Source organism: Homo sapiens, chromosome 7 (assembly GCF_000001405.40).
Source record: "Homo sapiens chromosome 7, GRCh38.p14 Primary Assembly".
In the NCBI taxonomy this organism is placed as follows: domain Eukaryota; kingdom Metazoa; phylum Chordata; class Mammalia; order Primates; family Hominidae; genus Homo; species Homo sapiens.
The window spans coordinates 71,752,010-71,764,953 of NC_000007.14; the positions used below are offsets into that span (position 1 = coordinate 71,752,010).

General features: G+C 39.6%; 2 annotated features.

Annotated features, from left to right (window-relative positions):
• Positions 206 to 285: a silencer, noted in NCBI's record as "silent region_18236". NCBI's record gives its function as "represses an Ori minimal core promoter by ATAC-STARR-seq in GM12878 lymphoblastoid cells {active_cell/tissue: GM12878}" and the evidence as "EXISTENCE:reporter gene assay evidence [ECO:0000049][PMID:35858748]".
• Positions 326 to 395: a silencer, noted in NCBI's record as "silent region_18237". NCBI's record gives its function as "represses an Ori minimal core promoter by ATAC-STARR-seq in GM12878 lymphoblastoid cells {active_cell/tissue: GM12878}" and the evidence as "EXISTENCE:reporter gene assay evidence [ECO:0000049][PMID:35858748]".

The following is a 12,944-nucleotide window of genomic DNA, read 5'->3' on the forward strand; positions in this document are numbered from 1 at the left end:
TTTTTCCAAAAGGAAAAACGTTCAATGTTATTTTATTAAATGCAGAAGATAAAACGTTTCGCAGCACCGGGTCCAAGGAAGTGCAATACAACAGCAAAATGCAATGGCCGCAGCAGCTCAGTGATGGGCCGAGACTCGTCCCGTGTGGCGGAGATGCTGGCATCCCCCCTGTGGCTCCAAGCGCTGAGCTTGGCGGCGGGGACCTGGCGGCCCCGGCTCGGCTCGGGACAGGCAGGTGTGGGGAGCCGGCGGGTTGGAGGGCGTTTTGACGCTAGAGGGCGCTCGGTGCCCGGCGAGGGAGGCGGCCCAGGCCGGCGGGGGAGCGCGCGCCTCTGCACTTGCACCCAGCTCTCCGCTGCCTCCTGCCCTGTCTGCTCCCCAGCTCAGGACACTGTGGTCACAGCAATAGGAGCGGCGGTGCCTGGGCCGCTCCGAACCTAGGTCACCTGCTGGAGGAGGGAGAGGTCGCCTGCTGCTCTGCAGGAGGGCTTCCGTCTGCAAGGTGAGCTGGGCTGGCTGCAGCGCCTCCTCCTCCTTGCAGCCCTCCCTGCTACACCCCGGGCATTTCTTGCAAGCTCTCTGCCAACGCGTAAGACACCTGGGAGAACTAGGAGTTCATCCCCGGGGCCTGATGTGTCCAGGCTGTTGGTGTGGAAAGGAGTCTGTGCCAACAGACACCCGGGGTCACTGCCACCCCGGAAGCTGCTCTCACCCTTCCGAGGACCGGGAAAGCAAGTGTCCAGCAATGGGGAGCCTCTCCATTAGCCCGGCGGCCTCCTTGACTGCCAATCAGCAAGCCTGAGAGGTAGTGCCAGCAGAAGAACCGTTCGGGGGGCCGGGGGGTGCACCTCCAGCTCGGCCAGTCCTGAGAAGGGGCAGCTGTGGTAGCCAGGGCAAGTCACCCATCTTTCTGCAGTTCAGACCTCACCTGCAAAGTCTTAATTTTAGGATAGGATTTTCTAGATTGCTAGGGAAAAATATCTATGAAAATAAAGCCGATCTAAGGAGAAAAGGGAAAGAAGAAATAAAAAAAGCAAGGGAGAAATGGGAGGGCAGGAAGGGGGAGAAATGGAGGATGTCTCTGTCTCTGTCAAAAACCTAACTTTTGTCAAGATCATCATCCCTGGGCCCTCTCCTTAGTGCCAACCACTGGCATTTTAAATTTTGTTTGTTTATGTTAGAAATGGGGTCTTGCCGTGTTGCCCAGGCTGGACTTGAACTCCTAGGCTCAAGCAATCCCCCTACCTTAGCCTCCCTAGTAGCTGGGACTACAGGTGCACACCACCATCCCCAGCTTCTTTCTCTTTTTTTTCCTTCCTTCCTTCCTTCCTTCCTTTCCTTTCCTTCTCTTTCTTTTTCTTTTCTTCGTCTTTTCTTTCCTTCTCTTCTTTTCTTTCTATTCTTTCTTTATTTTCATTTTCTTTTCTTTCTTTCCTTTCTCTTTTTCTTTCCCTTTCTTTCTCCCCCTTTCCTTTCTCTCTCTCTGTCTCTGTCTTCTCTTTATTTTTTCTCTTTCCTTTCTTTCTTTCTTTCTCTTTTTTTTTTCGCTTTCTTTCTTTCTTTCTTCTTACATTTTCTTTCCTTTCTCTCTTTCTTTCTTGATGGGGTCTTGCCATGTTACCCATTGCCCAGACAGGATTCAAACTCCTGGATTGAAGGAATCATCCTGCCTTAGCCAGCAGAGTAGCTGAGATTCAGACGCACATCACCACAGCAGACAACCACTGGCCTTTGAATGCATGGTCTCGCCCCCACATGTCTCATGCCTGCTCCTCTCCTCTACCTAATTCCTCTCTATTCTCTTTCCTCCACACTGTTCTCGGAGCTTCTAGAGGAAGCCTTGATGGAAGAAGCAGCAGCCTTCCAGCTTGGCCTCTGCCACAGATTCCCCAGGGTGCACCTGTCCCCAGGCCTCAGTTTCCCCATCTGCTAAAAAGCCTTCTGTGACTTCTAAGTACTTTTCTGCTCTGACATTTCAAATAGTCAAACAGTCCAGGCTCTCACATTTCCCTGGCTCAAACATTAAAACTGCCTGGGGAGCCTTAAAATATTATGGCCTGGGCACTTTCCTCCCCCTCCTCATTGAGAAGTAATCGGTCTGCGGTGGAGCGTTGCAGCAGTATTTTTTAAAAGTTCCCCAGATGATTCAAATGTGCAGCCAGGGTTAGGAACCTCTGGCATCATATTCCTGCTCTGAATGATTTGCATGTTCCTAGGAGACCCCTGGAAACCGTGAATTTCGCCACTCAGCTTATCTCTGATGTTGGAATAGCAGGCAGGGACAAAGGTTTGGGGTGGTATTTTCAGACAGCCCCCTCAAAGGCTTATGGGTCCCTTGAAACCCTCTGCAGCCCTAGGTAGACAATGGGCATTAGAAGGAGAGGAAAGGGGTTTCTCTCTCTCTCCCTGCCTCTATGCCCCTTACTTCGACCACTTCCTGCCTGCTTCTCCCCTCCCCTCCCCTCCTCCCCCTCCTCCCGGTCTGGCAGCTTCCACCATCTGGAATTGCTTTCCTGCCTCAGCCTTTCTCCCTAGCTTCTGTGTTCTCTTTCGTTCCTCTCTCTCTCTCTCTCTCTCTCTCTCTCTCTGAGACAGGGTCTCACTCTGTCACCCAGGCTGAAGTTCAGTGGTGCAGTCTCGGCTCACTGCAACCTCTGCCTCCTGGGATCAAGCGATCCTCCCATTTCAGCCTCCCGAATAGCTGGAACTACAGGCATGCACCACCACGCCCAGAGGATTTCTTGTATTTTTAGTAGAGACCGGGTTTCACCATGTTGCCAAGGCTGGTCTTGAACCCCTGAGCTCAAGTGATCTGCCTGTCTTGACCTCCCAAAGTGCTGGGATTACAGGCATGAGCCACTGTGCCCAGCAACTTCCACGTTCTCTTGAGACCCTTCCTTCTCCAGGATAAGTTCCTTCTCCCTCTCTCAGTCCTCAGCCTGAAGTGGCAACCAGAACCCCGCAGCTAAGCCCTGTGGGGTGATGAGTCCCACAAAGGGAAAAGTCCCTCACGAGGACATTCCAGGGCCCATGCATGGAGCAAACACATCAGTATCTTCATTGCCTGGGCTGAAGCCGGACTCAGACTCATTCTGGGAACTGTGAGATTCTGTGGCTGTCTGGAGGCTGAGAGGGAAAGTTGTGCACTGTGGGTAAGAGGCAAGGCCAGGGCTTGGGGACCTGGTTCCTGTCCTAGTTCTGCCATTAACTGCTTGGTGCATAACCTTGAGCTCAGTACTTCTCTCTGGGTGATATGGTTTGGCTATGTCCCCACCCAAATCTCATATTGAATTGTAGCTCCCATAATCCCCATGTGATGTGGGAGGGACCTGGTGGGAGGTAATTAAATCATGCTATTCTTGTGATAGTAAATAAGTCTCACAGGATCTGATGGTTTCATAAAGGGGAGTTGTCCTGCACACACTCTTTTTGCCTGCCACCATGTAAGAAGTGCCTTTGCTCCTCCTTCATCTCCCGCCATGATTGTGATTTTTTTAACTGGGTAAAAATCTAGGTTGATACTTTGTTCTCAGTCTTTTAAAGAAATTACACCACTATTTTCTAGACTGATTCCTGATGTCTTCAGTCATTCTTTTCTCTGGTTCTTTGTGTATAATGTCTTTTTATTTTATTTTATTTTTTTGAGATAGAGTCTTGCTCTGTCACCCAGGCTGGAGTGCAGTGGTGCGATCTCAGCTCACTGCAGCCTCCACCTCCTAGGTTCAAGCAATTCTCCTGCCTCAGCCTCTCGAGCAGCTGGGACTACAGGCGCATGCCACCACGCCCAGCTAGTTTTTGTATTTTTAGTAGAGACGAGGTTTTGCCACATTGGCCAGGCTGGTCTTGAACTCCTGACCTCAGGTGATCTGCCCACCTTGGCCTCCCAAAGTGCTGAGATTATAGGCGTGAGCCACCACACCTGGCCTATAATGTCTTTTTTCCCCCTGGATGTTGAATTTTTTTAATCTTTATTGCTTGATTTAAGCAACTTAGTGCAAAATCCTTCATGTTTCTTGTGTTTGGGATTCACTGAGCTTCTCGAATCTATGGTTTATAGTTTTCATCAAATTTGGAAAAGTTTTAGCAACTCTTTCTCCCCAGATTTACTCAGGTACAATTGACAAATAAAAATTGTACACATTGAAGTATACAATGTGATGTTTGATATATGTAGATATTGTAAAATTATCACCACAATCAAGCTAATAGACATATTCATCACCTCATATAGTTTGTGTGTGTGTGTGAGAACACTTAAGACTTATTTACTCTTTCAGCAAACTTCCAGTGTACAATCCAGTATTATTAACTAGAGTCAACATGCTAACCACTAGTTCTCCAGAATCTGTTCATCCTGCATAGCTGAAACTTTGTATGCTTTGACCTGTATCTCCCTATTTCCCCGACACACAGCCCCTGGCAACCACCATTCTACTCTCTGCTTTTATCAGTCTGACTATTTTAGATTCCACATATAAGTGAGGTCATATAGTATTTTTCTTTCTGTGTCTGGCTTATTTCACTTAATATAAGGTTTTCCGGGTTCATTCATGTTATCACTAATGCCAGGCTTCCATTCTTTTGTATGGCGGAACAATATTTCATTGTGTATGTACTGCACATTTTATCCATTCGTCCATCAATGGACACTCATGTTGTTTCCATATTTTGGATATTGTGAATAATGCAGCAGTGAACATAGAGTGAAGATATCTCTGTGAGACACTGATTTCATTTCCTCTGGATATATACCCAGAAGTGCTGGATCATATGGTTACTATATTTTTAATTTTTTGAGGAGTCTCCATAATGTTTTCCAAAATGGCTGGACTAATTTACATTCTCACCAACATTATGCAAGGGTACCTTTTTCCCCACATACTTGCCAACACTTGTTGTTTTGCTTTTGAAAATAACCAATCTAACAGGTATGAGGTCATATCTTGATACAGTTTGGCCATGTCCCCACACAAATCTCATCTTGAATTGTAGCTCCCATAATTCTCACGTGTTGTGGGAGGGACCCAGTGGGAGGTAATTGAATCATGGGGGTGGTTTCCCCCATACTGTTCTCGAGGTAGTGAATAAGTCTCACGAGATCTGACGACTTTATAAAGGGTTTCCCCTTTTGCTTGGCTCTCATTCTCTCTCTTGCCTGCTACCATGTAAGACGGGTCTTTCACCTTCCACCATGATTGTGAGGCCTCCCCAGCCATGTGGAACTGTAAGTCCATTAAACCTCTTTTTCTTTATACATTACGCAGTCTTGGGTATGTCTTTATCAGTAACGTGAAAACGGACTAATACATATCTCATTGTAGCTTTTATTTACATTTATCTGATGATTAGTGATATTGAGCACATTTTCATACACCTGTTGGCCATTTGTATGTCTTCTTTGGAGAAATGTTTATTTAGGTCTTTGTCCGTTAAAAAACGAGGTTATTTTGGATTTTTCTTTGGTTTGGGGAGGTTTTCTGTCTTTGGCTATTGAATCGTTTGAGTTCCTTATATATTTTGGATATGAACCCATAAACAACTGTATGTTATTCAAATATTTTGTCCCAATCCACAGGTTGTCTCTTCCCTCTGTTGTTTCCTTCGCTGTGCAGAAGCTTTTTTAGTTTGATGCAGTCCTATTTGTCTATTTTTGCTTTCGTTGCCTGTGCTTTGAGGGTCATATCCAAAAATCATTGCCCAGGCCAATGTCATGGAGCTATTTATCTATGTTTTTCTTCAAGTAGTTTTAAAGTTTTAGGTCTCATATTCAAGTCTTTAATTGATTTAATTGATTTTGAGTTGATTTTCGTATGTATTGTGATATGAGGGTCCAATTTCATTCTGCATGTGAAAATTCCATTTTCTCAACGCCACGTATTGAAAACTGTCCTTTACTCACTGTGTGTTTTGGGCACCTCTGTTGAAAATTAATTGATTATAAATGTGTAGGTTTATTTCTGGGCTCTCTGTTCTGTTTCATTGGTTATTGCATCTATTTTTATGCCAGTGCCATGCTATTTTGGTTAGTAAAGCTTTGTAATATATTTTGAAATCAGGTAGTATGATGCCTTCAGCTTTTTTTCTCAAGATTGTTTTAGTTTATTTGGGTCTTTTGTAGTTCTATACAAATTTTAGAATTAATTTTTTATTTCTGCAAAATATTTCATTGGAATTTTGATGGGGATTACATGGAATATGTAGATCACTTTGGGTAGTATGGACATTTTCACAATATTAATTCTTCCAGTGCATGTACAAAGGATGGCTTTCCATTTATTTGTGCCTTCTTCAATTTCTTTCATAAATGTCATACATAGTTTCTGGTGTACAGATCTTTCACTTCCTTGGTTAAATTTATTCCTAAATATTGTATTGTTTTTGATACTATTGTAAATAGAAAGTTTAAAATTTCTTTTTCTAGGTAGTTTGTTCTTAGTGTATGGAAACACAACTGATTTTTGCATGTAAATTTTGAATCCTGCAACTTTACTAAATTTGCTTATTTGTTCTAACAGGTTTGTGGTGGTGTATCTAGGTTTTCTATATATGAGATTATGTTGTCTGCAAACACATACCATTTTACTTCTTTCTCCATGACTCAGATACCTTTTATATATTTTCTTACTTAATTACTCAGGCTAGAACTTACAATACCATGTTGAACAAAAGTGGTAAGGGTGGGAATCCTTGTCTTGTTACTGATGTTAGAGGGAAAGCCTTCAACTATTCACCATTGAGGATGATATTATCTGTGGGTTCATCATACATGGGCTTTACTATGTCGAGGCACATTCCTTCTGTACCTAATTTATAGAGAATTTTTTTTTACCATTAAAAAATGTTGTCAAATTTTGTCAATTTTTTTTTTTTGCCAGTATTGAGATAATGATCTGAATTTTTTTTTTTTTTTGACAGAGTCTCACTCTGTCACCCAGGTTGGAGTGCAGTGGTGCGATCTCGTCTCACTGCAGCCTCTGCCTCCCGGGTTCAAGCAATTCTCCTGCCCCAGCCTCCCAAGTAGCTGGGACTACAGGCATGACCCACCATGTCTGGCTAATTTTTTGTATTTTTAGTAAAGATGGGGTTTCACAGTGTTATCCGGGATGGTCTTGATCTCCTGACCTCATGATCTGCCCGCTTCAGCCTCCCAAAGTGCTGGGATTACAGGGGTGAGGTGATCTGATTTTTATTCTTCACTCTGTTAATGGGCATATCTTAGTACTGATTTATATATGTTGAATCACCCTTGCATGCCAGGGATATATCCCATTTCATTGTGGTGTATGATCTTTTTGATGTGTTATTGAGTTCAGATGGCTAGTATTTTGTTGAGGATTTTGACTGTAATTTTCTTTTCTTACAGTGTTCTTTCTGGTTTTAGTATCAGGGTAATACTGGCCTTATAAAATGAATTTATAAGTGTACCCTCATCTTCAATTTGTTGAAAGAATTTGAAAAGGGTTGACATTAATTCTATTTTAAATGTTTGGTAGAATTCACAAGTAAATACATCTGACTCTGTGCTTTTCTTTTTTGGGATATTCTGATGACTGATTCAATCTCCTTATTCATTATTGGTCTGTTTTCTATTTCTTTATGATTCAGTCTTTGTAGGTTGTATGTTTCTAAGAGTTTATCTGTTTCTTCTAGGTTATCCAATTTGTTGGTATATAATTATTTATAGTAGTCTCTTATAATCCTTTGTATTACTGTGGCATAAGTTGTAGTGTCTCTTCTCTCAATTATAATTTTCCTTTTTTTTTGAGCTGGAGTCTTGCTCTGTCACCCAGGCTGGAGTGCAGTGGTGTGATCTCGGCTCACTGCAACCTCTGCCTCCTGGGTTCAAGCAATCCTCCTTCTCCTGCCTCAGCCTCCTGAGTATCTGGGATTACAAGTGCCTGCCACCACACCTAGCTATTTTTTTGTTTTGGTTTGTTTTGTTTTAATAGAGATGGGATTTCCCCATGTTGGCCAGGCTGGCTTCGAACTCCTGACCTCGAGTGATCTGCCCACCTTGTCCTCCCAAAGTGCTAGGATTATAGGCGTGAGCCACTGTGCCTGGCCTCATTTCTAATTGTTAAATTTGTGTTTTCTCTCTTTTTCCTTGGTAATTCTAATTAAAATTTGCCAGTTTTGTTTATCTTTTTTTTAAAACTTGACTTTTTACTTTTATTAAACTTTTGTTCTTGTAGTCTCTGTTTCATTTATTGCTGCTTTAATTTTTATTTCCTTCCTTCTGCTGACTTCAGGCTTACTATGTTCTTATTTTTCTAATTCCTTGAGATTTAAATTTGTGTATTTTAGAGCTTTCTTTTTTTCACATAGGTGTTTATCACTATAAACTCCCCTCTTCGAACTTATTTTGCTACATCCCATAAGTTGGCATGTTGTGTTTCAATTTTCATTTGTCTGAAAGTATTCTTTGATTTACCCTTTGCTTTCTTCTTTAACCCATTTGTTGTCCTGGAACATGTTGTTTACACATATTTGTGAAAATTCAAATTTTTCTCTTGACATTGACTTTTAGTTTCATATCAAAAAAGATAGTTGATATAATTTCACTCCTCTTAAATTTGTTAAGATTTGTTTCGTGCTCAACATACGATCTATACCAGAGATGGTCTGTGTACACTTAATAAAAATGTGTAGTCTGCTGCTATTGTATGAAATGTTCTGTACATGTCTGTTTGGTCCACTTGGTATGTAGTGTATTCAAATCTGTTGTTTCCCTACAGAATTTTCAGTCTGGATGGTCTATTCATTGTTTACAGTTCCCTACTATTATTGTATTGTTGTCTCTTTCTTTCTTCAGTTCTATTAATATTTGCTTTATATATTTTTGTGTTCCAGTGTTGAGTACATATATATTTAAAATTAGTATAACCTCTTGATGGATTAATCCTTTTATTATTACACAATGAGCTTCATTAGCTCTTATAACACTTTTTGATTTAAAGTCTATTTTGTCTGATATAAAACAGCCAAACCTGCTCTCTTTTGGTTATGATTTGTGTAGAATAACCCTTTCTATATATATATATATATATATAATATTATATAAATATAAATATATACATATATAAATATATAATATAAATATATATATTTATATATGTATATATTTATTTATATATATTTTATATATTATATATTTAATATATATATAATATATAATATATATTTAATATATATAAACAATATATAAAATATATATTATCTATTATATATTTATATAATAATATATAATACATAATATATATTTATATATAAATATATAAAAATATATAATATATATAAAAATATATAAAAATATATAATATATATTTATATATAAATATATAAAAATATATAATATGTATATAAAATATAGGTTTGCTTGATGGTGTCTCATAAATCTCATAGGCTTTCCCCATTCCTTTTTATTCTTTTTTTCTTTTGTCATCTCTGACTGGATAATTTCAAATGATCTGGCTTTGAATTCATAGATTCTTTCTTCTACTTGGTGGAATCTGCTGCTGAAGCTCTCTATTGCATTTTTCATTTCTCCTATTGTATTCTTCCCCTCTAGATTTTGTGTTTGGTTCTCTTTAATAATTTCTATCTCTTTGTTGAACTTCTTATTTTGTTTATGTATTGATTTCCTGATTTCATTGAGTTGTTAATCTGTGTTCTTTTGTAGCTCACTGAGCCCTTTAAAACAATTATTTTAAATTCTTTGTCAGACAGTTTTGAGATATCCATTTCTATAGGGTCAGTTAATGGAATATTATTGAGTTTCTTTGGTGATGTTTTTGTTCACTGATTTTTCATGTTTCTTGAAGTCTTGCATTGGTGTATTCACATGTGAAGAAGCAGTGACCTCATCCAGTCTTTACTGACTGGCTTTAGAAGAGAAAGACCTTCACCAGTCAGCCCAACTAGTAATTCGGTGTCTCTCAGACATTTTCATTGATACACTCTAGTCCTCTTATTCTGTCTTGAGGAGAAGGTCTTAGGATTGTATGCCTTCTTTCAATTATGCAAAGGCAGCTGGGTGCTGAGAGTGTCCTGTTCATTTTTCCCAGGGCAGTTCTTTAAAATATGCAAGGTTAAATGCCTTTCCCAATCTAGCAGGGCTGAGACAGCTGTCTATCTGTGCTTGTGCATGACCTGCAGATGCTTGAGTGTGCTATCAGTGGGAATGCACTCAGGGTATCAGCTGTGGGAGGAGAAGGGCACACGAAATACTGGGTGAGTGCATGAATTAGTTGGGGAAATCGCCAGGTGCTATGTCCTAACTACGTTCATGGGCAGGCCTCTTGCTGGAGAAGAATGTGAGGTAGTTAGTAGAAACAACAGCCTTTTGTTGAGTTCTGTGTCCCGGATGGTTTGAGCCCCTGTCTCTTATTGTTGCTTTTATCTGGTCCCAGACTATTCAGCTGTGCCAATCTGCTTCGTGTTCTGGATAAGACAAAAAAGAAGTGGACCTCTTGGACAGCATCCCACATGGTTGGGGAAAACAGGCACTCACTATGCTTTCACTTTCCCCTGTGGCAGAAACTGCAGGCCAAGGAGTTCTCTTGGCACTGAGCTGTGCTGCTTTGGGGGTGTGGTGACATGAGTAAAGTGAAATTGTTCTTCTTACCCTTTTCAGTGCATCTATTTTCAGATTTTTTGCTCCAGTGAGGTGCTGGGACCTCTCTGCTGGACTCCCAGGCTCTCACAAATGGACTCTCATCTGTGGGGGGTTCTCAAAATCAGTGTTCCTGTGGGTGAATGAGTGCTGAAAACTCCTATTCTGCCATCATGCTTGTGTCACTCCCCCTCACCTTTTTTTTTAAAGACTTATTACTTTAGAGCAGTTTTAAGTTCACAGCAAAATTGAGTGAAAGGTACAAAGATTTTCCATTTATCCCCTGCCCTCACACATGCACAGACTTTCCCATTATCAACATCCCTAACAGAGTGACATATTTCTTATACTTGATGAACTTACATGGACACATCGTTATCACCCAAAGTCCATAGCGTATATGAGGCTCCATTCTTTATGTTGTATAATCTATGGTTTTGGATATTTGCCCTAAAAATCCTCTGTGCCTTCCCTATTCATTATTATCTTCCCTTTAACTCCTGGCAACTACTGATCTTTTTATGGTTTCCATAGTTTTGCCTTTTTTAGAATGTCATATAATTGGAATAATACATTATAGTCTTTCCAGCTTTGCTTCTTTCATTTACTAGAGTAATATGCACTTGAGGTTTCTTCATATCTTTTTATGGCTTGCTAACTCATTCTTTTTAGTACTGAATAATATTCCATTGCCTAGATGTACCACAGTTTATTCGCTCACCTATTGAAGAAGATCTTGGCTGCTTCCATGTCTTTCCAACTATGAATGAAGCTGCTATAAACCCCCATATGCAGGTTTTTGGGTGGACATAAGTTTACACTTCCTTTGGTTAAATTCCAAGGAACAAGATTCCTGAATCATATGGCAAGAGTATGTTTAGTTTTGTAAAAAACTACGTAACTGTCTTCCAAAGTGGTTGTACCATTTTACATTCCTACCAGCAATGAATGAAAATTTCTTTGCTTCACATTCTTGATGTTGTCAATATTCTGGATTGGAGTTGTTCTTATAGGTTAGTGGTATCTCATTATTTTAATTTGCATTTCCATGATGACATATGATGTGAACATCTTTTCATATCCTTATTTTCCATCTGTATATTTGCTTTTGGGAGGTATCTTTTAAGGTATTTGTCTCTTTTTTTAATTGGGTTGTTTGTTTTCTTATTGTTGCATTTAAGAATTATTTGTATGCTTTGGATAATAGCCCTTTATTAAATAAGTCCTTTGCAAATATTTTCTTCCAGTCTGTGACTTCTTTCATTCTTTTGACAGTGCCTTTCACAGAGTATAAATTTTAATTTTAATGAAGTTCAGCTTATCACTTCTTTCTTTTATGGATTGTGCCTTTGATATTGTATGTAAAAAGTCACTGCTAAACCCAAGGTCATCTAGATTTTCTCATATGTTATCTCCTAGGAATTTTATAGCTTTGTCTTTCACATTTAGGCCTGTGATCCATTTGGAGTTAGTTTTTGTGAATGGTACAAAGTCTGTGACTAGATTCTTTTTTGTTGTTGTTTTTGCATGTTGGTGTCCTGTTCTTCTAGCACCACTTGCTGAAAGACTATTTTTTTCCTCCATGTTATTGTTTGTGCTCCTTTTTAAAAGAAAAGTTGACTATATTTATGTGTGTCTATTTATGAGCTCCCTATTCTGTTCTACGAATCTATTTGTCTATTTTTTTATTAATACCACACAATCTTGATTACTGTAGTGAGGTACTGCCAGTCCTCTTTTTCTCAATTCATAATGTGATGGCCACTATGAGTCTTTTGCTTCTTCATAATAAATTGTAAAACCAGTTTGTCAATATCACAACATAATTTGCTGTGATTTTGATTGGAATTGCATTGACATTATAGATAAAGTTGGGAAGAACTGACATCTTGACAGTATTTAATCTTTATATCTATGAACATGGAATGGCTCTCCACTTATTTAGCTATTATTTGATTTCTTTCATTAGAGTTTTGTAGTTTTCCTCACAGTGATCCTGTACACACTTCACTATATGTATTCCTAAGTATATTATTTTGGGGGGTAACAATGAAAGTGGCATGTGTTTTTAAATCCAGTTTCCACTTGTTTTTTGCTGGCATATAGGAAAGTGATTGATTTTTGTATATTAATCTTGTATCTTGCAACCTTGCTATAATCATTTATTAGCTCCAAGAGTTGTTTTTGTCAGTTATTTCATATTTTCTTCACAGACTATCATGTCATCTGTGAATAAAGACAGTTTCATTTCTTTCTTACCAATCAGTGTACATTTTATTTCCTTTTTATGTCTTATTACATTAGGTAGGACTTGTAGTATGATGTTGAAAAG